The sequence below is a fragment of the Homo sapiens genome, chromosome 4, assembly GCF_000001405.40.
Source record: "Homo sapiens chromosome 4, GRCh38.p14 Primary Assembly".
Taxonomy (NCBI): Eukaryota; Metazoa; Chordata; class Mammalia; order Primates; family Hominidae; genus Homo; species Homo sapiens.
Window position 1 is genome coordinate 423,933 of NC_000004.12, and position 26,562 is coordinate 450,494.

The window sequence follows — 26,562 nt, forward strand, 5'->3', positions numbered from 1 at the left end:
GCTGAGACCAAAGTCTTCAGGTTTGTTTCTGGCTTCATGGCATTTCTCCCTCCAGATTCCTGGGTGGGCAGGACTGCTCCCAGACTTTAGTTGACAGGGACTGGAGGTAGGTTTTGGGACTGGAGCTGGGTTTTAGGACTGCTTCAAGATTCACAGTGGGAATAAAGTCAGCCAGCATGCCTACAGGGGCACATATAGTGTGTTTTTTGGCAGGTCCCAGGTTAGGAAAAACTGCTTCTGGACTTCAGTTTCATGGACTGGGAGCCAGATTATAGTGCCACGTCAAGATCCACCATTAAATAAATATTGGCAAGCCTACATCCAGGGGCACAGATGGACGTTTCTGTCTGTGGGTTCCTGCATGTGCAGGATTTCTTCCACATCATGATAGATGTGTGCAAGGGGCTAATTCGGAGATCACTGAGAGGAGCAACATCTAAAGTCCTTTCACCTGAGACACAGGACATTATGAATCCTCCTTGGTGTCTTGGCAGATGGTGCTAGTGGCATAAACAAAACCAAATGGCCTACAGCTATACTTACAATGAGAATTAATCATATTTTATTTTGTAGCTGGGACTATGATGGGCAAGCATGCCACTCAAGCAAGCTCATGCCTTCTCAATACAGCCCTCCTCAGTCTTAGGTTTACACCCTTTGACATGGATTCCAAAGTTCCCATAAAGGTTCTTTTGCCAGGGCATAACTGCTCCTTTTTTTTTTGAGAGGGAGTCTCACTCTTATCACCCAGGCTGGAGTGCAGTGGCACCATCTCAGCTCACTGCAACCCCCGCCTCCCAGGCTCAAGCAATTCCCCTGCCTCAGCCTCTCGAGTAGCTGGGATTACAGATGCCGCCACCACGCCCAGCTAATTTTTATATTTTTAGTAGGGATGGAGCTTCACCATGTTGGCCAAGCTAGTCTCGAACTCCTGACCTCAGGTGATCCACCTGCCTTGGCCTCCGAAAGTGCTGGGATTACAGGTGTGAGCCACTGTGCCCAGCTTGCCACTTTTTTTTTTAAGTCTGTCAAAGTTTTATTTATAAGAAATAAATTTACATATAACCCAAACACAACAACTCTGGTATTACATTAATACAGCTATAACATTAGTGCAGCAATTTTATAACACAAAAGTGTTATAAGGACATGGGAAATGTTCGTGAACTGTGAGGTGAAAAGATACAGAAAATGACTATGCCTACTGATACTACCTTTGAAAAAGGACCCATAAAAAATACATTGAATATTAGTTGGCTAAAGAAAATATTAACTGTGGTACTTTCTTACAGATTATGGTTATCTTCTTCCATATAATTTCAATATGTACTAAAATTCACACCTATTTTGTAATCAGAATGTCATTATAATTAAATGTTATGTTGTGCCATTTCATCAGATCTTCTTATAGTCAATGTCACATTAAATTAGAATCTGAGTAACTAATGTTTAAAAATAGCTGATATATTTGAAATTTAGGCAAAAAACTCATTTTTATTTGTAAAATGTGCTCAGTGTTAACTTTATTGATAATAACCAAAAACAAACCTAATATTTTATGATTTTAAAATTATTTTTAAGCACAAAATAGACCCATGTTGGGGATGAATAACATGTCTGAGTTTGTTAATTTTGTCTGCTACTTTTCCCTATATTTCCTTGTTTCCTTCATCCTAAAATTTTTAAAAATGAAAACTTTAATCATTGTTGCATGTTTAAACTATTGAATATTTTCTTTTGTTAACTGAAGTAAAAGGAAACATTCTTGTAGAATTATGGAAACTAATAATGCAGTAGGACTTAAAATTGAATGTTAGGAGGTTCTTCGTTTTAAGAATCTTCCCGTGGGAGAAGTTTCCATCGAACTGTTATATCAATTTTATCATCAACATTTCCCAGCGCCTGCTCTTTACAGAGTTCTAAGAACACCTGCTCCAAGGTAGCCTGAGAGAGGCTGTATTCCTCCAGGTTGAAGGTCTGTTTCACTGCCTTTAATTTGAAAAAGGCCTGAGACAGAGGGTGGACATCCTCCACAGGTAACTTACATGCCATTAAAGAGGAATATCTTTCCTGCCAAGCAGCCTGTGGGAAAAGCTTCAAAATCTCTGTGTGGAGAGCTTCCACCTGAGTAGGTTCTTTCATTTTTATTTCTAGTAAATAATCTTTACCAAACTTTTCAGCTGTTGAATGGAACCAATACACCTTAGCGTTCCTGACACCATGATGGCCACACGGTCACACAGAGACTTAGCCTCTGACATGTAATGGGTGGTCAAGAGGGCGCCCCTCTCCTGGTTTTTAATGGTAGCCTGAAGTATCTGCCACATTTGCTGCTGCCCCTCAGGGTCCATCCCGGTGAACAGCTCGTCTAGAAGCACCACTGATGGGTTCCCCAGTATGCTCAGCACGAAGCATAGCTTTCTCTTTATTCCCTCTGATAGAGTTTTCACGGGAGCCTTAAGTTGCTCCTGGAGCTTGAGAGCTTCCACCAATCATGAAATACTAAGAGCAGCATCTTTGCCCAGTCCTTTCACGGCTGCATACAACTCCAAATGCTCTTTCATTGTAAGTTTGGGACACAGTGAGTTCTCCTGAGGGCAGTACCCAAGAACTTGAGGCTGTTGTCACGCTGTTGCCTTACTGATGCTCTGTTGCCTTGTAACACCACCACTCCTGCAGTTGGCACTGTGCACCCAGTTATCATTTTAATGGAAGTACTTTTGCCAGCTCCATTGTGTCCTAGTAATCCCAAAACTTCACTTTTTAACACAAAACGAAACATTTCTGATGGCTGCTTTCTTCTTTGTTGTTGAAAAGCAACTTTCTTTGTCTCATAATATTCCTTGTGTAAACAGCTTGCAGTTATGACTGGTTCCTCCTCCAAGTTTGGAGTAGTGAGTGCATTTGCTGCTTGGACTCTTTCAGCTTGAACATCTTCTTCAGGCTCTTCTGGATTGGTATGAGTTCCTCTACTTCGTGGAGAGATTCTGAAAACTGGGTCTTTATTCATGATTTCATTTCCATACTTCATTTCCAGACACCTTATGACAAAAAGGAAAATAACACTCTGAAGGTATGGTATTAAGTTTGTTAAAAGAATGGTTTTATTGACTTCATTTATTCTATTGTCCAGACTGTCCAAGTTTCTCATATACATAAAGTTGAGCTGGATCAATAACGACATATCCTAGGAAAGTAAAGGAAGGTATGAATATCATGCACAAAATTAAGTTGGGTTTTTCTTACTTAGTTGATACCAGAATTGTGGATACACATATTAAGACAATAAAAAAGCCAAAAGACCAAAAGCCATTATTTTTTCTCCACTTGCAAAAGATGAATGAAAGCACGTACATGAGGAATACAAGAGAAGCTGCACAACCAATTATGCATACCACCAAAACAAACATGAGTTCCCATGGAAGCTGGAATCCCAGAAATGAGAAGTAGTAAATTAAATGTATTGAAAGGAGAATCAAGAAGTGTAATGGAATGTCCACCAGAGCCTGTCCACACCATTATGCTGAAGGCCAGAGGCCTGAAATCCATAACTGAGATTGAACTTTTTTTAATAATCACTGATGCTGCTTATGCCAATATAAGGAGAAATGCAGTTTGTGATCAACAACAAAAATATGGACCCATCTATAAAACCAAGATCCAGCACTATGTCATCACGAAAAAATAAGGTGCTCTCCATTTGAATAAGCTCTGTGAAGTTAAAAATTCCAATAAGGGCATTGCTAACAATTCCCATAAGAACGGAAAACAATTCGATTTCTTGGTATTACATGCAACTGAAAATCTAATCCTTCTGGTCACCAGACACTATGATGGCTCCATTGTAGGAGGGATCATCTGAGCCATTTCTGTTTCTGAGGTCATCTATTTCCAAAACTATATCCTGACGCTTCAGTGAATGCACAAAGTCTTCAATATTTGATCCTGGAGCAAAGATGAATTTAGAAAGCCAAGCGAAATACAGGGGTAGAGAAAAGTGGGAAGAACCCTGTGGGCACCCTCAGCCCCCAGTGAAGCCATATTGTTGCCACATTTTTTTTATAACCGTAGATGTGGGTAGAGAACCTCCTATTCTGCCATCTTGCTATGTCATTCCCCTTGTATATTTTACTTTCTGATATGTTCTATGTCAAATGTTTTTTATTTTGAATTCAAAATGTCTGAAATGCTCAAATTTTCAAATTGTGGAATAAGTAAATGTATTGAAATGCCTCATTCTCATCAGAGCATTTTATTAATTATTGACTTAATTTTCTTTTGCTGCTGTACCTTGAATGCCAAAGATTCAAAATGCCAGCTCTTCATAAGTACATAGTCACAGTTGAAAACTGTAGTTATTTAAAAGATTGTCTTTATGATACATATATATTAGATTCAATATTTTATAGGTCAGAATTTTTTATTCTAGTTTTCAACTCCATTTTAGTGGTTTGTTTTTAATCTTTATATTTTTGTTGGTTTTGTTTTTTTTTTTTAATTTTGAGACAGGGTTTTGCTCTTGTTGCCCAGGCTGGAGAGCAATGGCATGATTTTGGCTCACCACAACCTCTGCCTCCTGGGGAGGCGATTCTCCTGCCTCAGCCTCCCGAGAAGCTGGGATTACAGGCATGCACCACCACGCCCGGCTAATTTTTTGTATTTTTAGTAGAGATGGGGTTTCTCCATATTGGTTATTCTGGGGTCTCGAACTCCTGACCTCAGGTGATCCACCTGCCTTGGCCTCCCAAAGTGCTGGGATTACAGGTATCAGCCACTGCACCTGGCCTAATCTTCATCTTTGTATGGTAATTTTAACCTGTACCTTTTATGACCACGTGGTGTTTAATTCAAATAAATGTCATTGGGTTTCACTTGGAGCAAATTAAAATATATATATATATAAATCAGACATTTCTCTTGGCAAGAAAGTTATCTATGTAGTATTTGCCTGTATAAATATTGCCCTAGGTGTTTATAAATGTTTTATTTACTTGGGTGTTCATCATTGTTTTCTTGTGTGGGTGAGTAGTCAAAGAAACAGTGTAAAATTACCATCTATTTATGTTTGATTATGTTATTCTGTGAGAGAAACACTTCTTATTTGAAGGCGATTTTTACAGACTGTAACCTTTTTAGGTAGATGTAAATATTTAGTTGTGATGAAAAATGTGTAACTGCCATCTTAAATATTTTCAAGTGTACAGTCTAGTGGTATTAAGTACACTTACTTTATTTTGCAATGGATCTCTAATTTTACCTTACAAAAGTAAAATTTAGTACCTTATAAACAATAAAGTGCCCTTTTTTCCTTTTTCTTTAGCTCCTGAAGAATACCATTTTACTTACTGTTTCTATTATTTTCACTGGTTTCCATATTCTTATCAGTGTAATTATATAATGTGTTTCTTTTTGACTATTATATGTAACAATATTCTCAGGCTTTGTTTTTGTAAGATATGTCAGAATATCTTTGTTTTAAAATGAAATAATATTCTATTATATGTATATGTCACATTTTAAAAATTTGATACTGATCCCTAAAGGGACATTTGTATTCTTTCCAGGAATCATCTTTTGTAAATAATGAAGAACATGCATGTGTAAATATCTACTTAAAGTCTTGCTTTTTTTTTTTTTTTGACAGTCTCATTGTCACCCAGGCTGGAGTGCAGTGGCACGACTTCGGCTCACTGCAACCTCTGCCTCCCGGGTTCATGCCATTCTCCTGCCTCAGCCTCCTGAGTAGCTGGGACTACAGGCACCTGCCGCCACGCCCGGCTAATTTTTTTTTTCTTTTTTTGGATTTTTAGTAGAGATGGGGTTTCACAGTGTTAGCCAGGATGCTCTTGATCTCCTGATCTCGTGATCCACCCGCCTTGGCCTCCCAAAGTGCTGGGATTACAGGCGTGAGCCACCATGCCCGCCTAAAGTCCCGCTTTAAATGTTCTTGGAATAGTTTGGATACAGTGTTGTAGTACTATGTGTATGTTCGTATTTTTATTTCCCAAGCCTTTGATGTTATATCCAAAAACTGATTGCTAAGACCAGTTGCATGAAGGCTTCACTGTCTGTTTTTATTAGATTCCACATATGTGTAAGGTCATGTAGTATTTGTCTCAGTGTATCTGGTTTCTTTCTGTAACATGATCCAGCAATTTGAATTTTTTTTTTCTTGCATGGTCACAAATGTTTATTGTCTTACAATCAAAAGAACCATCTTAAATTACAATGTTTATTGTTTAAATATATGTCACTTTGTGATACATTTTTTCTATAACGGCTGTACTAACTTAGTCTTACCAGCTGAATATGTTAACTTTTCTATACCTTCTCATAATTTTTTTGTCTTTCTACTTACAGTCATTCTAACTGCAGTGAAGTCTCATCTTGTTGTGGCTTTGATTTGCATACCTGATAATTAGTGATGCTGAACATCTTTGCATATTCTTTTTGGCCATTTGTATTTCTTCTTTTGAAAATTGTATCTTAGCCGAGTGCGGTGGCTAACGCCTGTAATCCCAGCAGTTTGGGAGGCTGATGCGGGTGGATCACCTGAGGTCAAGAGTTTGAGAGCAGCCTAGCCAACATGGTGAAATCCCGTCTCTACTAAAAATACAAAAATTAGCCAGGCGTGATGGTGCACACCCGTAATTCCAGCTACTCGGGAGGATGAGGCGGAAGAATCGCTTGAGCCTGGGAGGCGGAGGTTGCAGTGAGCTGAGATCAGGCCACTGAACTCCAGCCTGGGTGACAGAGTAAGAACCTGTCTCAAAAAAAAAAGACAGAAAAAGAAAAATGTATCTGTAAGTCTCTTGCCTATTTTCAAATTATGTGTTATATATGTTGTTATATATTCTGCAAGTTTATCTCATCATATGTATATTTTGCAAATATTTTCTTTCATTCTATAGATTATCTCATTGTTTACTGTGCAAAAGATTCTTAGTTTGTTGCAATCCCATTTGCATATTTTTGTGTGTCTTGAGGTCTTAAAAATTATTTGTTCTGCAATATGTGGTAAAGCATTCCTCTGTGTTTACTTCTAATAGCTTTATAGGTTTGGGTTTCCTTTTTTTTTTTTTTTGAGACGGAGTCTTGCCCTGACACCAAGGCTGGAGTGCAGTGGCGTGATCTTGGCTCACTGCAACCTCCACCTCCCGGGTTCAAGCGATTCTCCTGCCCCAGCCTCCCGAGTAGCTGGGATTACAGGCACACACCTCCATGCCCAGCTAATTTTTGCATTTTTAGTAGAGATGGGGTTTCACCATGTTGGTCAGGCTGGTCTCGAACCTCTGACCTCGTGATCTGCCCGCCTTGGCCTCCCAAAGTGCTGGGATTAAAGGCGTGAGCCACTGTGCCCAGCTTCTATTTAAATTTTTATTTGTGATTGAGTTTTTTATATCATAAGAGGTAGGGGCCTAGGTTCATTTTTTTATTATGTAGATAAATTTTTCTAGCAACACTTATTGAAAAGACTGTCTTTTTCCAACTGTGTGTTCTGGACATTTTTGTTGAAAATCACTTGGCTCTAGGTTCATGAATTTATTGCTAGGCTCACTGGATACTTTCATCTGTTTTTATGTCAGTATCATCCTGTTTTGCTCATTATAGCTTCATAGTATGTTTTGGAACCAGGAAGTGTGATGCTCCTAGCTTTGTTCTTTTTGCTCAGGATTACTTTTGCCGTTCGTGGGTCTTTGGTTGTTCCCTATACATTTTAATCTTTTTTTTTCCGATTTCTGTGAAAAAAGTCATTGGCATTTTGATAGAGATTGCATTGAATCTGTAGATCACCTTGGGTAGTATAGCCACTTTTATATTTTTTCAATTCATGAGCAAAAAATATCTTTCAATTTTTCATGTCTTTTTCAGTTTTTTATCAATGTTATATAATTCTCAGTGTAGAGCGTGGTTACCCTTTTTAATTAAGTTTGCCACTAGACATCTAGACATCTTTATTTTGCTGGTCTATGTAGGAGTATTTGGCAAAATTCAACATGCCTTTGTGCTTTAAGAAACTCAACAAATTAGGTATAGATGGTATGTACCCCAGCACAATAAAGGCCATGTATGACAAATCAATGACTTATATCATACTAAACAGGAAAGAGCAGAGCACTTTTTATCTGAGATCTCAGACAAGGATGTATTCATTTTACGTTATACTTGTGTATGACAATATTCAACTGTGTACACTGTAAGACTGTGGAGCAAGGCCGGGCATGGTGGCTCATTATCCCAGCCTGTAATCCCAGCACTTTGGGAGGCTGAGGCAGGTGGATCATTGCTGGGGCTACGCCAAGATGAGATTATCTAGAGAAACAGGCAGGTTGGCCAAGCAGCTAGGGGCACCACCCTTTCTGGGGAACTCCTTATGGCCCTTATCTCAACTGTACCTAACAACCTGCCCCCCCTGCAATATGCTCAAGAGAAAAAGAAATGGGGTATCAAACGTGAATATACCCTAGGACCTGAAAGATTGTGTAAATTGAGAGTTTTGTTTTTTTGTTTTGTTTTGTTTTGTTTTTTTGAGAAGGAGTCTCGCTCTGTTGCCCAGGCTGGAGTGCAGTGGCTCGATCTCGGCTCACTGCAAGCTCCACCTCCCAGGTTCACACCATTCTCCTGCCTCAGCCTCTCAAGTAGCTGGGACTACAGGCGCCCGCCACCACGCCTGGCTAATTTTTTGTATTTTTAGTAGAGATGGGGTTTCACTGTGTCAGCCAGGATAGTCTCGATCTCCTGACCTCGTGATCCGCCCACTTTGGCCTCCCAAAGTGCTGGGATTACAGGTGTAAGCCACTGTACCTGGCCCTGAGAGAGTTCCCCCCCGCCCCGCCCCCCGAGGTCCTCCAGCAGAGAGCAAAAAGGGCACTCCATAATTCTTGTCTCTTTGGGAGAGAGCATATCTATCAGCTGTAAACAACAGACAAACAAAACTAAAACTCTCTTTTTGACAAGTTTGTAAAGTCTGGACATCTATAGTAATCCTGCAGGCCTAAGCCACTCTCCTTAATTCAGCCAGTTCAGCAACAAGAAACCTACCCAGTGGGAAGAATGGTAGGTAGACTTAATTGCCAACCTATCTAGGCTACAAATACCTTCTGATTTTTGGGGACCCTCTTACTGCCTGGGTTGAAGCCTCTCATACTAGAAAAGATTCAGGTACTTGCCAGAATCATTCTGAAAGAAATTATCTCTTTGGGTTTCCACAGTCTTCACAAAGTAACAATGGTTCATAATTTATTTTGCAAACTACCCAAGCAGTGGCAAAAGCCCTACGGGTAAAATACTTTTCACACTCCTCCTGAAAGCCAGTCTCCCAGGAAGGTAGAAAGGACTAATCAAGCTATTAAAAGGACCTTGAGCAAATGATGCCAGGAAGCCTCTTTACCATGGCTAGAACTTCTGCCCATGGCACTTCTCCAGATTAGAACAGCCCCTAAATTACATCTATGCCTTAGTTTCTTCGAAGTCCTATATTAGAGACCCTTTCTACATGCAAACCTAGTATTATACCCAGAGGTTACCAAATTAACCCGGTACATAAAATCGCTGACTCAATTTCAAGAGGCCATCCAGGAGTTTGGACAAACAATTCTGAGTTTGACCCCCACTCCAACAACCCTTATAACCAGGCAGGGTAACAAGTCCTCATTAAAATCTGGAGAGGTGGATCTCCTGGATCTCAACTAACCACATTACAGAAGAACAATTTTACTATCATACTTCTCACCCCAATAGCTATCAAGTTTCCTGGCATCTCTAGCTGGACACATTATTTTTGAATACAACTGGAAACACGTTAAGGAACCAAAGAAAGATTGAACCAACACTTACCTACTCCTGTGACCCACAGGAGGACTTACAAATTTTTCTCTAAATGAGAAGCTAAGTAATGCTCTTCCTCATTTTATCTCAAAGTAGGGTAATCCCAATATTGGCAATCTTATTTGCAGTGGTACTGTTGATTCTTACCTTAACCCTAACTTGCACACCACCAGGTGTTCCATTAAGAGCTTGCTTTATCTAATATTAATTTTTTAACCTAGTTATTTTACTTTTGACTGCTTTAGTCCATCAGCGATGTAATATTTTCATGTTTATATTAGAAGTCATAATACTCTGCAGATTTACTAATATGCCTTTGTTACTGTAAACCAACACCCTCTCCAGGGAAGAGTTTGCTATGTCCCTCCTACATTTAAACATCAAAGCCATAATCTGAGTAGTGATCTCTCTAATATTCATTGGGTTAACAGTCTCTCTTCTTAATCAAGCATCTCAATTTGGCCCTATTCTACTTCCCTTGGAGCCATGCAGCCTAATGTTCTATGGTCATTACTCATACTTCTGACTAAAGTCACCCTCATATGCCCTAACTGCCCACAACCTTTTTTTTAAGCACTTTGCAGGCAACTCCACAACTACTAAACTCTACCAATTCTTCCTATGCCTCAACCTGTTAGCTAGTCATGAATTCCTCTTCATCCTGGGTGGGAATGGCCTACTTGGCCACAATACAAGAATGGACATCTACTCAAGCCCAACTTAGCTTCACCTACCATCGGGACCTCTCTACACAAAACCTTCCCTCTGCTAGTATAATCTTTTTGACAAAACCTAAAGCAGCCTTTTAAGATTTTCTTAAACCCACCCCCATTGTTTCAAGCCCCTTGTTCTCCCCTGCTACCCTCATTGGCCAGGTACTCCTATGCATCTGTGCTACTGTAAACTCCAGAACCATCGTGGATGCTTTAGACCCAGCACAATGCAACACAACGAGCACCATTATTGATATTTCTCAAAATTTTGTTTCACTAAATATTCTCAACATCAAATGAGATTTTCTATTCTCCCCCAAATGTTTTAGCACCTGGAGCATTCATCCAAAATGATGCCACTGAATTCTGCGTCGGTCACACCTCTGGCAGTCAACCCAACCCATGGTGTCAACCAAGCCAGTATAAATTATGCAAAAGGTTTCAAGTCTTTGTTTCAGAAAACCCTTCTCCTTGATACTACTAGAGACATCCCCATGATAAAATGAAACAAAAAAACACATAGGACCCATGTCTGGCTCCCCTGGCAGCAGCAACTTTAGTGGCAGAATCTCACATATCGGATAGCCAACAAGGACCCTGGTCAATGTTTGGAACTGACCTCACCTTCTGCATCCATTTTTATTGACTACAGAACTTTACTTCCTGTGTGAAATGCAGGCTTATCTCTGCCTCTCTGGAAACTTGACGAGGACATGCACTCTGGCTTCCTTCACCCCTAAAATTTGCATTGTCCTGGGTGATGATTCTTTGCTGTTACCCTTTACTACCTCAAACCAGATCAACTGTGCAGTTTATCTTTTTTATTTTTTTCCTCAATGAGCTTGGCATCACAAGTGCCACTACAGGAATAGCTGGCATAATTATTGCCTTCTCAACTTACCACAACCTGTCTCTAGAACTGACTCAAAAAACAGAAACCACTGCTCAGACTCTTACAGAGTGACAGCAACAAGTTGATTATCTCGTGGCTGTAGTTCAAAATTGTAGAGGTCTTGCCACACTAGCTGCAGCTCACAAAAGCATTTGCCTTATGCTAGGAGAAAAATGCTGTTTCTGGGTTAACAGATTAGGGAAAGTCCAGGACCATGTTAGAGATTTTATAAACCAAGCCTGTCACCATCAGAAACATGCCACTAAGGGCTAGTTCTCCTGGGGTGCCAACTGGTTCAAATTCTCATCACATCCCTTTTTGGGGGATCCCTAGCTTTTGTCTTCCTTTTTCTCTTTTGTGAGCTTTACTCACTAAATCAAGTAACCAGGTTTGTTTCCTCTCACCTGGAAACTCTCAGACTTCAAATGGTCCTGCAACAGGAGTATCAACCTATTTTCTTCCCTTCTGTACAACTGTGTTTCTCCACATTTCCTCTGGATACTGCAAGTCAAACCTGGGAAAACATGGAGGGAATGTTTTTCTGACAAAGAGCAAGATAATGAGATGCTGATGAGTTATCTTATGTCACCAGGAAGTAGTTACAGAAGACCCACAGTGCACTGTCTCAAAGATTTTTAGAGTCACAATCTATTGAGGGAATGTTCGAGTAGGCAGTTAGACATGAACAGAAAAAAAGAGCCCCAGAGGAAAAAGCCTCATGCTCCAAAGACAACCCAAAACATGTATGCTAAATTTGAGCAGAGAGGAGCAGAAATACCTATGAAGAACACCCTGAAACACCACTTAGGACACCCAGTAATTGCTCATACTGTGATTAAACTGTCAGAATGTAGCTAGCTACATGCTGATAAAAAGGGAAAAAGGGCTAAAGGAAAATTCCTAAGAGATACGTAGGCATAGTAAGTACACATTTGACTGCTATATTATTTTCCTAAGATGGCGGTAATAAGCAGTGCTGCCATTAAGATTCATTGATCACTGGAACTCACACATGTATATCAGCTGACAGTAAGGAAGCATCTCACAGACCTGGGCAGAAACTCGATGAGGATAAAAGAAGAGATTTACCAGGAAGCAGGATACTAAACAAAGGCAGACACTTAAGACAGAGGTGGGAAATTTTTTTTAAGTCTATGATAATAAAAACTGCAACATGTAACTCTCAAGACTGTTTCCAGCTGGGCCAACCTACTCCTCTTTTGGTGTGTTCTTTGTGTCTGGGCTGAATTGTTTCTCTCAAGAAAACAAGAACTAAGGACTTTGCACTTCCTGGTAACATTTTCACTCTCCCCCACCTCTTGACAAACACCATTGTACTTTGTTTTTATGAGCTGACTACTAAAAATATCTCACATAAATGAAATTATAATTTTTTTTTTTGAGACGGAGTCTCGCTGTGTTGCCCAGGCTGGAGTGCAGCAGCGTGATCTTGGCTCACTGCAAGCTCCACCTCCTGGGTTCACGCCATTCTCCTGCCTCAGCCTCCCAAGTAGCTGGGACTACAGGTGCTGTCACCACGCCTGGCTAATTTTTTGTATTTTTAGTAGAGACGGCGTTTCACCATGTTAGCCAGGACGGTCTCGAGTTCGAGACCTTTGCCTCCCAAAGTGCTGAGATTACAGGCGTGAGCCACCGCGCCCAGCCCAATGTTTGTTAATTTTTTATTAAGGATGGGTGTTGAGGCCGGGCACGGTGGCTCATGCCTATAATCCCAGCACTTTGGGAGGTCGAGGTGGGCGGATCATGAGGTCAGGAGATCGAGACCATCCTGGCTAACACAGTGAAACCGCATCTCTACTAAAAACACAAAAAAATTAGCCGGGCGCAGTGGCGGGCACCTGTAGTCCCAGCTACTCGGGAGGCTGAGACAGGAGAATGGCGTGAACTCGCGAGGTGGAGCTTGCAGTGAGCTGAGATCACGCCACTGCACTCCGGCCTGGACGACAGAGCGAGACTCCGTCTCAAAAAAAAAAATGGGTGTTGAAGATAATCATGTATTTTCTGTTTGAAGAGGTTGTTTACCGTAGTAGTTAAGACTTATCTCTAGAGTCAAACTTGCCTGTGTTTTACTACTGGCTCTTCTGTTGTGAGCAAGTCATTTTTCTCTGTGGCTCTGTTCCTTCCTCTGTAAAATAAGGATAATAATAATGTCTATGCATTGAGTTTCTGTGAAAATTAACAGATATACAGGATTATGGTTAGTATTTGGTATATATTATTATGTATATGCTGAATTACATTAATTAATGAACGTTTGAATTCAATAGCTGCCATAATCTGATTTTCCAGAGAAGGTGACGAAGGACTTGGATAAAGTGACTAAAAATGAAAACCGTACCTCATGAACTGCATCCACTAAAACAAAAAAATCATAACAAATTTCCTCAAGATTGTAACATGAATCTCAACAGAAAAGATCACTGCAGATTTTGAATCTTGAATCTACACAGATCATTCTATTTTTCCAACACTTAACATTTACACTCAAAAGATTCAGCTTAAAAAAATAGTTTTGCTATGTCATAGAAAATGATATGTAAAATCCTTCACCTACCATTAAGTCTCTTAAAAATTTCAAGAGGGCCGGGTGTGGTGGCTCCCGCCTGTAATCCCAGCACTTTGGGAGGCAGAGGCAGGCGGATCATGAGGTCAGGAGATCGAGACCATCCTGGCTAACATGGTGAAACCCCATCTCTACTAAAAATACAAAAAATTAGCCAGGCGTGGGAGTGGGCGCCTGTAGTCCCAGCTACTCGGGAGGCTTAGGCAAGGGAATGACGTGAACCCAGGAGGCAGAGGTTGCAGTGAGCTGAGATCGTGCCACTGCAGGTTAGCCTTGGCAACAGAGAAAGATTCTGTCTAAAAAAAAAAAAAAATTTTTTTTCTAAGATATATTTTATCTTAAGAGATATCAAAATTCTGATGAGTTTCTTCATATGGTGCTTACAATATGCAACCCACTTATATTAATGTTTTACCTATTCTAACTTATGTTTAACACACTTTTTGTTAGAATCTCATACAATTTTTCCTTTACCAATACAGAGAAGCAATGCTGACTTAATCCTCTTACCTGTGAACAGTGAATTACTCTCAAGTCATCTGAATGTTGTATTGATAAATTATAAATAATCTCAAACAACCCAGTTAAAAACAATAATATACCACATTAAAAATTCTAAACTTCTCATCTGAACCTTGAAAGTCCATGTGAAATTACACGGCATGAAGAGATCAGCGAGGAAACTGTAGCCAAAACACAAAGGAAAAGAAGACATCACAAAACTAAAGATAATTAGAAAATAAAAACAGAAATCCTCTTTAAATTCAGACTGAGTCAGTTTTGCAGCCTGGGAACACGTCCTCTCCACATGCACAATTAATGACATTTCTTCAACATAGATATTTTTAATCTTTTACTTGGAGCTACGAACTAACTCCAGGAATATTTATGGCTAGTTATGGAGCATCTATTACACACCCAGCACTTTGTGTTTGTTCACTACAATTATTTATCAAAACATCCCCAATACTTATGTCTTCCCAGTACTTGCCTGAACAAACTTATTTAGTTATAAAAAGTGAAAAGAACAATAACTAAAGAAAACAGCTTATATAAGGTTGTCCAATAAAATGAAATGTTCTAATTAAATAAAACATAAATACACACATTGTGAAATTACATCTAAAAAGTATTTTTGGTGCACTAAATTTTATAAAAATGATTCTTATAATTTCTGACAAGCTCACATACTTTATGAAGTGGAAACAAAAAAAATGAGAAATTTATAGCTAGAGCATGAGGACCACATAAAACCAGAATTGATTGGCATGGGGAGATTCTCAACGATGATTCATTAGATTGTACAGTAATTAAATGAAAAGAAGAAAATATAGATTTGATTTCAAAATGTTTTAGATTTCTAGTAAATTACCTATCCACAGTATTAATAGAACCTTCTTTGTTCCAATATTGCTATTTTCTTTGGAAAATAGGTATAAACTCTCATGCAAACACAATTACTTGCTCCATAATTTCCTTGTGCCCAACGTTTATCTTTAGAGCACAAAATTTATATATTTAACTCCAAGTAAATTAAATGTCTGTATGTGTTTGCAGGAGGACATGCCACATGTTCAAAGATATATATGAAACATTTTTTAAAAGTATTCAAGACTCAGGAATGTATGAATGTTTATTACAAACATAAAATGACCTGTAGTTAAAAATAATTAAAGTGTGTAACTGGATTGTGTGTAATACAAAGGATAAATGCTTGAGGTGATAATAACTCATTTACTGTGGTGTGATTATTACATACTGTATGCCTGTATCAAAATAACCCATATATACCATAAATATATACACATACTATGTACTCACAAAACCTTTTGAAAAATTTCAATAAGAATAAAAATGTAACATGCAAACAATATTCTTCAATTTATTTGCTGTTGAAAGCCACTAAAAAAGACTAGAGATGTCATTCAATTATATTACCAGATAGTACATTGTTACCATCTTTAACGTACACCCTTGAGTAAGGTTGGATAGGTGAAAGTTGGTGGCATAATAAAACACTTCATTCACGGCACAAAAATTTTAACACAATAACAATTTTTATTTCAAAAATTAAGTTCACACATTATCTTAAGAGAATTTTAAAATTTACTGCATTTTATTGCACTTATTACATAAATATACAGTTGGCAAAACAATTTACTACTAAAATTCAGATTCTCTCTCAGTATAACGCAAAGTATTACTCTGAACACCTACTTCAGGCATCACTCAGTAAGTCAACCACTAAAAGCCTCTCTGCTCAGATTTTCCTGGTGCATCTTTTATTTCTCTTCTCTTTCATGTAGAAGTCTATGAATAATGCCCACCTAATGCAAAGGAGTTTCTCATATCTCTGACGCAGCAACAATTTATCACATGCTTTCACATAAATGAGAATGTTGAAATAGTATAATTTTAGAGTTGAATTATTTGCTTTTGAAAAAAATTTTTACTTTTTTCAAGTGAAAAAATATATTTCGAATATATCTCTTCAAAAACCTACTTTTCAACTTATATACAAGGAAATTTTCTAACAGGTTCAACTTTTGTTATACTTAATACTCTGATTTATTTTAAAGTCTGAAGTGTTAGTTCCTTAGTTCTTTCTACTGTAAATCCTCTGATGTTTACATAGTCTTAATTTTAGCCTAAATATTTCTTCACATTTACTGCACCTACAAATTATATTCTAGTAAAAATTCTCTGGTGTTTCTTTTCTTTTTATCTTGTTTTGAGACAGAGTTTCACTCTTGTTACCCAGGCTGGAGTGCAATGGCACGATCTCAGCTCACCGCAACCTCCACCTCCTGGGTTCAAGCCATTCTCCTGTCTCAGCCTCCTGAGTAGCTGGGATTACAGCCATGCACCACCATGTCCTGCTAATTTTTGTATTTTTAGTACAGACGAGGTTTCTCCATATTGGTCAGGCTGTCCTTGAACTCCCGACCTCAGGTGATCCACCCTCCTTGGCCTCCCAAAGTGTTGGGATTACAGGCGTGAGCCACCGCGCCTGGCCTCTGGTTTCTTAACCTGCAGTTTCTGAACAGAGGTTTTTCCACATTTATTACATTTGTAGGATTTCTCTCCAATATAAATTCTCTGATGTTGAACAAAGTTTAAGCAACTGCTTCAGAGTTTTCCTCTAGTACAAAATGCATATAGTAAGTTCTGGGATACAAGTACAGGTACTAGAGCCCTCTTTATCTTTGTATTCTCTGTCTTAAGACTATTCTTCACTTTAATGGCCTATATTTTCTAAAAGGTCTTTCAACAGAAATTACATTTATAATGCTTTTATTAACTATAAATTTCAAGTAGACAATAGCTTTTGTATATTTTTATGTTTGTACAAGTAGTCTCACATATAAATACTATCATGTGCAAAAATGCTAAGCATTGGTTACAAGTTTTGCCACATTTTTTGTATTTCCAGGTGTTTTCTTCAGTAGGAATTACATTAAGAACTGACTAGAATTGGAAGTCTTTGCCACATTTTTAATTTTAATTTGGCTTCTCATCAATATAATTACTCTTATGTCTACAACAGATTGAGGTGTGATTAAAAGCCTTCTCACATTTTTCACATTTTAGAGTTTCTCTTCATTATGAATTATCTTATGATTAGAAAGGATTGAGGAGCATTTAAAGACCGCGACATTCGTCACCTTCGTAAGACATTCCCCTGGTATGAGTTCTCTTATGTTTAAGAATGCTGTAGTATGACTTAAAGGCTTTGCCACATTCTTTACACTTGTATGGTTTTATCTCCAGTATGAATTTTCTTATGTGCATAAAGATTTGCAGACTGTCTAAAGGTTTTGCCACAGTCTCCACACGTGTAGGGTTTCTCTCCAGTATGAATTTTCTTATGCGCATAAAGATTTGCAGACTGTCTAAAGGTTTTGCCACATTCTCCACATGTGTAGGGTTTCTCTCCAGTATGAATTCTCCTATGTACATAAAGGATTGCTGACTGTCTAAAGGCTTTGCCACATTCTTCACATGTGTAGGGTTTCTCTCCAGTATGAATTCTCCTATGTTTAGTAAGGGTTGTGGAACTAGTAAACGCTTTACCACATTCTAAACATTTAAAGGGTTTCTCACCTGTATGAATCCTCTTATGTTTAGCAAAGCTTGAGGATGACGTAATGACTTTGCCACATTCCTTACATTTGTAGGGTTTCTTTCCAGTATGAATTTTCTCATGTCTATTCAGGTGTGAGGACTGTTTAAACACTTTCCCACATTCTTTACATTTGTAGAGTTTATCTCCAGTATGAATTTTCTTATATTCGTTCAGGTTTGTGGACCATCCAAAGGATCTGCCACGATCTTCACATTTGTAGGGTTTCTCCCTAGTGTGAACTCTCCTATGTGTAGTAAGGTTTCTTGACCTACTAAAGGCTTTGCCACACTCTTCACATTTGTAAGGTTTTTCTCCAGTATGAATTTTCTTGTGTTGATTCAGGGCTATGGACCATCCAAAGGCTTTGCCACACTCTTCACATTTGTAACTTTGCTCTCCAGTAAGAATTTTCGTGTGTTGATTCAGGTCTGTTGATGGGGCAAAGGCTTTGCCACACTCTTCACATTTGTAAGGTTTCTCCCCAGTGTAAATTTTCTTCTGTTGATTCAGGTCCGTGTACCATACAAAGTCTTTGCCACACTCTTCACATTTGTAAAGTTTCTCTCCAGTATGAATTTTCTTGTGTTGATTCAGGTCTGTGTACCGTCCAAAGGCTTTGCCACACTCTTCACATTTGTAAGGTTTCTCTCCAGTATGAATTCTCCTATGTACATAAAGGTTTGCGGACTGTCTAAAGGTTTTGCCACATTCTTCACATGTGTAGGGTTTCTCTCCAGTATGAATTCTCCTATGTACATAAAGGATTGCGGACTGTCTAAAGGCTTTGCCACATACTTCACATGTGTAGGGTTTCTCTCCAGTATGAATTCTCCTATGTTTAGTAAGGGTTGTGGAACTAGTAAACGCTTTACCACATTCTAAACATTCAAAGGGTTTCTCGCCAGTATGAATCCTCTTATGTTTAGCAAAGCTTGAGGATGAGGTAATGACTTTGCCACATTGCTTACATTTGTAGGGTTTCTTTCCAGTATGAATTTTCTCATGTTTATTCAGGTGCAAGGAATGTATAAAGGCTTTCCCACATTCTTTACATTTGTAGGGTTTATCTCCAGTATGAATTTTCTTATATTCATTCAGGTTTGTGGACAATCCAAAGGCTCTGCCACGATCTTCACATGTGTAGGGTTTCTCTCTGGTGTGAATTCTCTTATGTGCAGTAAGGTTTGTTGAACTATTAAAGGCTTTGCCACACTCTTCACATTTGTAAGGTTTCTCTCCAGTATGAATTTTCTTGTGTTGATTCAGGGCTGTGTACCGTCCAAAGGCTTTGCCACAGTCTTCGCATTTGTAAGGTTTCTCTCCAGTATGAATTCTCCTATGTACGTAAAGGTTTGCGGACTGTCTAAAGGTTTTGCCACATTCTCCACATGTGTAGGGTTTCTCTCCAGTATGAATTCTCCTATGTACATAAAGGTTTGCGGACTGTCTAAAGGCTTTGCCACATACTTCACATGTGTAGGGTTTCTCTCCAGTATGAATTCTCCTATGTTTAGTAAGGGTTGTGGAAATATTAAAGGCTTTACCACATTCTAAACATTTAAAGGGTTTCTCGCCAGTATGAATCCTCTTATGTTTAGCAAAGCTTGAGGATGAGGAAATGACTTTGCCACATTCCTTACATTTGTAGGGTTTCTCTCCAGTATGAATTTTCTCATGTTTATTCAGGTGTGAGGAATGCATAAAGGCTTTCCCACATTCTTTACATTTGTAGGGTTTATCTCCAGTATGAATTTTCTTATATTCATTCAGGTTTGTGGACCATCCAAAGGCTCTGTCACGATCTTCACCTGTGTAAGCTTTCTCTCTGTTGTGAATTCTCTTATGTGCAGTAAGGTTTGTTGACCTATTAAAGGCTTTGCCACATTCTTCACATTTGTAAGGTTTCTCTCCAGTATGAATTTTCTTGTGTTGATTCAGGTCTGTGTACCATCCAAAGTCTTTGCCACGTTCTTCACAAGTGTAGGGTTTCTCTCCAGCATGAATTCCTTTATGTTGAGTTAGGTCTGAGAACTTCTGAAATGACTTGCCACATTCGTTACATTTAAAGTGTTTCTCTCCAGTATGTCTTGTCTTATCTTTGTTTGAATTTGCAAATTTACTAAAAACTTTGACACGTGCATTACATTGAAATATTTTGCTCTGAGTATTTGACAAGCATTTATTAATTCCATTATAAACTCCCTTCTGCACTTTACACACGTTCATACTTTTACAGCCTTTCCTTAATTGTAAATTATCATGCCCACATTTCTCATATCTTCTCAGTATAAGTTTGTGGAATGAATCTTCTATCCCCTGCACTGGCAAAAAGTCTTGGGTGAAATGAGAACACATAGCTGAAAGAAACAAAAATAACAAATTATCCCAGTTACTAGATTCATATGCATATACTTTACAAATCATAAGATTATACAAAGTACGCTAGTAAGATCACATAACAAAATACCACAAGTCATAACTTCTTCACATATACATGTAACAAACATATGGTGATCAAAATGCCTTTGTGTGAAATCTATAAATGAGTTAATTGTATGCAATCCCTCAGGTAAGCACAATGCCAAGAGCCACATAGAACAGGAAGGAATGTTTGTTCAATTTACCCACCAACAGCTCTTCCTCCCCAATATAGCACTATGCCATTAGAAGAAAGCTCTCAACTCCTTTTTCCTTAAAAGAGAAGAAAAATACTGACACACATATCCTTATTTCTGGCTTTTGGGGTCTTTACAAAAACTGATTTCTGCCTCCAATAAAACAGTGCTGAAAGAAATGGTGATACTTTGGAAGAACAACTTGGGTATTCGAAGACAAAATATAAATATTTCAAAAGCAGACTGAAGTGCTGAATACAGGCAACAGGTACAGCAAGTGATGAGAGACTTTTTTTTTTTTTTTTTTTTTTTGAGATGGAGTCTCACTCTGTCGCCCAGGCTGGAGTGCAGTGGCGGGATCTTGGCTCACTGCAAGCTCCACCTCCTGGGTTCATGCCATTCTCCTGCCTCAGCCTCCCCAATAGCTGGGACTACAGGCACCTACCACCACGCCCAGCTAATTTTTGTATTTTTAGTAGAGATGGGGTTTCACTATGTTAGCCAGGATGGTCTCAATCTCCTGACCTCGTGATCCACCTGCCTCAGCCTCCTAAAGTTGCTGGGATTACAGGAGTGAGCCACCATGCCTGGCCAATTAGAGCCTCTTAACAGGAAACATGAAGAAACCCTTTTAACTAAAAAATAAACACAAAATTCCAGACAAGAGACATCCTTCCAACATGTATGACAGGTTCCCATAATCTCTACCAAAGACAACTGGCTTCAGACTACATCATGACAAAGCAACATAATAAAGATTGTGACAAATAGCTTTTTGTTAATGTTCAAATAACAAGCAAATATTACAATGTATACAAAATATTAGAACACATTATAATGATTTTAAAATTTTCAGAAAACCATAAAAAAAGATGTACTAATTTTTTAAATGTAATCTGAATAATGCTGAATCAGTTAACTGAAAACACATATAACTAAATGTAATCAGAAAAATCAGAACATCAATGAAAACATTAAAAACATAAAAAAAGGAGGTGAAAAATATAAAATAATGACTCAGAAATTTTCAGAAGTTAAAAAAAGGATGTAATAAATGAAGCAGCTCAACAAACTTCAACTAGGATACACACACAGATTTATCGCAAGGCACATATATATACATGAGCAAAGTTTGAAAAATCAAACACAAGAAGGGCATTTTAGGAACTACAAAAAGTGATGTGTCATTTATAAGTGTGGTCTTATAAGATTACCAGTGAATCTGTCAACAAAACTATTTCACACCAGAAGGAACTGCAATATAATTAAGATGCTGGAGAAAAAAAAATTCTACATGGGAATAATATAACCAGCAAAACTGTCCTAAAAATGAAGAAAAAGTAAAGACCTTTCAAGATAAGCACATGCTGAAAAAGTATATTAGCACAACACCTGTCTTACCAAAAAAATGCTGAAGAAAGTGTCTTCCAGTGAAAATAACATAATGCAAGAAAACCAAACATAATCATACGAAAATATGTAACTTTCTGAAAAAGATATGCACGTACACAAAGTTCTGTACCACTATCCTAATAGTGCGGAAAACATTTTAATTATTCTCTAAAATTTTAAAGTTAAAAGCATAAAAATGATCATAAACTGTTGATCATTATCTGGTAATAATATACCACATAAAAATATGATTACTGACATCAATAACAAACGAGGACAGATGTAATGAGGAAGTTTTCTTTTTTTTTTTTTTTTTGAGACAGAGTCTCACTCTGTCACCCAGACTGGAGTGCAGTGGCACTATCTTGGCTCACTGCAACCTCTGCCTGCCCAGTTCAAGCAATTCTTCTGCCTCAGCCTCCTGAGTAGCTAGAACTACAGGTACACACCACCATGCTCTTCTACTTTTTGTATTTTTAATAGAGACAGGGTTTCATCATACTGGCCAGGCTGGTCTCGAACTCCTGACCTCGTTATCTGCCTGCCTCAGCCTCCAAAAGTGCTGGGATTGCAGGCGTGAGCCACCACACCCAACCCCGAATTTTCTTTTTTTTTTCTTTTTTTTCTTTTTAGACAGAGTCTCACTCTGTTGCCAGGCTGGAGTGCAGCAGCACAATCTTGGCTCACTGCAACCTCCCCTCCTGGGTTCAAGCAATTCTCCTGCCTCAGCCTCCCAAGTAGCTGGGACTACAGGCGCACCACCACGCCCAGCAAATTTTTGCATTTCTGGTGAAGATGGGGTTTCAACATGTTGACCAGGATGGTCTCGATCTCTTTACGTAATCCGCCTGCCTCAGCCTCCCAAATTGCTGGGATTACACACGTGAGTCACCGCGCCTGGCTGAGGAAGAATTTTTCAAATGCAACTCGTTTTTACCAGTTTAAAATATATTATTTTGCAGGGCACAGTGGCTCACACCTGTAATCCCAGCACTTTGGGAGGCCGAGGCGGGTGGATCACAAGGTCAGGAGATTGAGACCATCCTAGCTAACATGGATAAACCCCATCTCTACTGAAAATACAAAAAGATCTAGCCAGGTGTGGTGGCAGGCACCGTACTCCCAGCTACTGGGGAGGCTGAGGAAGGAGAATGGCATGAACCCAGGAGGCAGAGCTTGCAGTGAGCCGAGATCGCGCCACTGCACTCCATCCTGGGTGACTGAGCAAGACTCCGTCTCAAAATAAATAAATAAATAAAATAAAACAAAAAATATATTATTTTAAGAAATTTTATGTACTTTCCAAGATACCAGAAAAAAGTATCTCTATAGATACGCCAAAAAATAAGAAGTAAAGGTGTATCAGTACAAAAATCAAAAAGACACTAAGGAAGACAGAAAAAGAAAATAAGGGGCAAAAATGAAATAATCCAGCAAAAAAATCAATAAAACGTGTAAGTCTATTTCAGCAAATTATTCAAATATTTATGAAGTTTCCATTCGAAATACATGCACCAAATGAAGGGATTGATTGCAAAAATTAACATGATCCAGCTTGCTTTTCTACAGGAGTCACTTGAGATGTAATAATTTAAAAAGACTGAAAAAGGAAAGAAGACATTTGATGCAAATAACCAAATTATATAACACAAAGTACATCTTAAGTCAAAACTATCCTATTTCATAAAATATACTTTAACTAAAAGTTCAGAAGAAAGGCCATTAAACAATAATAAAAACGTTCCTTTACTGGGAACTCAACGACAAATGTGTGTATACATATGTTAATGTGTCTGTTTGTGTGTGTCCCACATTGAGTTCCAAACATACAAAGCCAATACTGACAGAATTAAAGCAACACAAAAAAGCAATATAATTATACTAGGATATTTAAATACCCCAATTTCTATAAAGAATAATGAAACAAGATAAAATATTCATAAGGAAACAGGAGACTTGAAAGCAGTATTAAACAATTATGCCTAACAGAATTGTAAAGAACACTGCTCAACGAGAATACACACCTTCCTGAATAGCTCATACAATATTCTCCTTGATAAACTACATATTAGGGCACAAAAAAAGTCTTAACAGAAGTTTTTAAAATTCAAATTTTACAGATTTCTTTTAATGACCAAACTGGTATGAATGTAGAATAAAAGAAAGAAAACTATAAACCCCGTCTCTACTAAAAATACAAAAAATTAGCCAGGCATGGTGGTGGGTGACTGTAGTCCCAGCTACTGGACAGGCTGAGGGAGGAGAATGGCGTGAATCTGGGAGGCGGAGCTTGCAGTAAGCTGAGATCCCACCACTGCACTCCAGCCTGGGTGACAGAGCAGGAATCCGTATCCCCCCCCAAAAAAAAAAAAAAATTACATACTTATAGAAATTAAACAATACAAACTAAAGATTGAAATAATAAAGATATCTAGACTGCTCAATGTAATCTACAGATTAAATGCAATCCCTGTCAAATTTGTAATTAAATTATTGTAGTAATAGAAACAGCAAACCCCATATTATATCAAATTAAGAAACAGTGAAGTACCCAACAATCTTCAAAAAGAGAAGCAATCTCAGAGGCTTCACAGCTCCTGATTTCAAAACACATACAAAGCTAAAGAATTAAAATAATTTGGGATAGATATAAAGCTGAACAGCTAGATTAATAAAATCTGCCAAAAATACAAACTCACACACGGTCACATGAAGAGTTTTAGACACTCATAATTACTGCAGCATTGTTACTGAAAGCAAATAAATGCAACACAGATTTCTCTCACCAAATTGATAAATTTGAAATATTAAAATGAAATATTACTCAGTTTGTAAAAAGCAAAAATTAAGTACAGTAAAGATAAACCTTGATGACATTAACACAAAATAAGTCATGAAGAGACAGAAACTGTATGAATCAACTTACATCAGATATCTAAAGTGGTCTGACTTTAAAATAAAAAGCAGAATTGTTTTTGTAAAGGGCCAGAAAATAGAAAAAGTAGGTAGTTGTTTAATGTGTACTGAGTGTTAGCTTTGCAAGATAAACATATTCTAAAGATAGAGTGCATAACAACGTTAATATGACTAAGCTGAATATTTAAAAATATATGATTGTAAAGTTTCAGCATTTTTGAAAACAAAAATAATATCTAAAAGAGATAGAGGTATGACAGTTTTGGAAATTATCTTCAAATCACGAAAGTGTTTCTTCCACACACACAAAAGTATAGATTTTCCAATAACATTTTTGTTATTGGAAAAAGACAATATTTTCAATAAATGGTGCTAGGAAAATTATCTACAAGATAATAAAAAAAATAAAACTAGGCTCCTACCTCTTATGATATAAAAAAGTCAATCACAAATAAAGATTTAAATGGGAAACCCAAATAAAGCTATTTGAAGTAAACATACAGGAATGCTTTACCACACAGTACAGAGCAAAGAATCTTAAGACCTCAAAAGCACAGGCAGAAGAAGCAAAAATATGCAAATGGGATTACAACAAAGTAAAAATGCTTTGCATAGCAAAGACAGCAGAGTGAAGAGATAATCTACAGAATGAAGGAAAATATTTGCAAAATATACATATGACAAAAGATAAATTTACAGAATATATAACAAACTTAACAAAAATACCACAATTTGAATATAGGCAAGAGACTTTAAGAGACCTTTTTCAAAAGAAATACAAATAGCCAAAAAGTACATGCAAAGATGCTCAACATCACTAATTGTCAGAGAAATGCAAATCAAAACCACAAGATACCACTTCACTCCAATTAGAATGACTGTAATTAGAAAGACAAAAATATGTTAGTGAGAATGAATAGAAAAGGAAACACATACAGTCGGTAAAATTGTAAGTTAGTAGAGCCATTATAGAAAAAAATAAGTATCACAGGATAACATATGTTTAAACCATCAACAAATGGTATTTTAACACTGTTTCTTTGACTCCTTGCCTACACAAATAAACTGTGGACGACCACACACACACAGAAAAAATAATTGAAATTGCTGGATCACATGTTCTATTTTTAATTTTTTAATTAAATGGGATTGCTGGAACATATGTAAGTTCTATTTTCATTGTAGCTAAACAAAATCAGTATGTCAAAGAGAAATCTACACTCCCATGTTTATTACAGCACTGTTTACAATGGCCAAGATATGGAATCAATCCAAGTGTCCAGAACTTGGATGAATAAAGAAAATGTAGTATATATACACAATAAAATAGTATGCATCTACAATACAGAATACAATTTTGATATTTGCCACAACACAAATGAACGTGGAGGCCATTATGTTAAGTGAAATAAAACAGATACACTGAGACAAATACCACATGATCTTACACATATGTGAAATCTAATATAAACATTTATGATGAAGGCTTTATGCAA

At 37.8% G+C, this 26,562-nt stretch overlaps 1 protein-coding gene and 2 pseudogenes across 2 annotated transcripts in view; 1 reads left to right on the forward strand and 2 right to left on the reverse strand.

Moving 5' to 3' along the window:
* Positions 1 to 1,502: 1,502 nt before the first annotated feature.
* Positions 1,503 to 26,562, reverse strand: part of ABCA11P (ATP binding cassette subfamily A member 11, pseudogene) — a 48,775-nt pseudogene continuing 23,715 nt past the window's right edge. Inside the window, exon 3 of the transcript NR_002451.2 lies at positions 1,503 to 3,041. The product of NR_002451.2 is annotated as an ATP binding cassette subfamily A member 11, pseudogene (transcript). The remainder of the gene's footprint in view (positions 3,042 to 26,562) is intronic.
* LOC100533734 (endogenous retrovirus group FRD member 1, envelope pseudogene) lies at positions 10,413 to 11,858 on the forward strand (annotated as a pseudogene).
* Positions 16,056 to 26,562, reverse strand: part of ZNF721 (zinc finger protein 721) — a 59,169-nt gene continuing 48,662 nt past the window's right edge. The window contains exon 3 of the mRNA NM_133474.4: positions 16,056 to 20,500. Coding sequence (NP_597731.2) covers positions 17,763 to 20,500 — 2,738 coding nt within the window. The 3' untranslated portion in view covers positions 16,056 to 17,762. The remainder of the gene's footprint in view (positions 20,501 to 26,562) is intronic.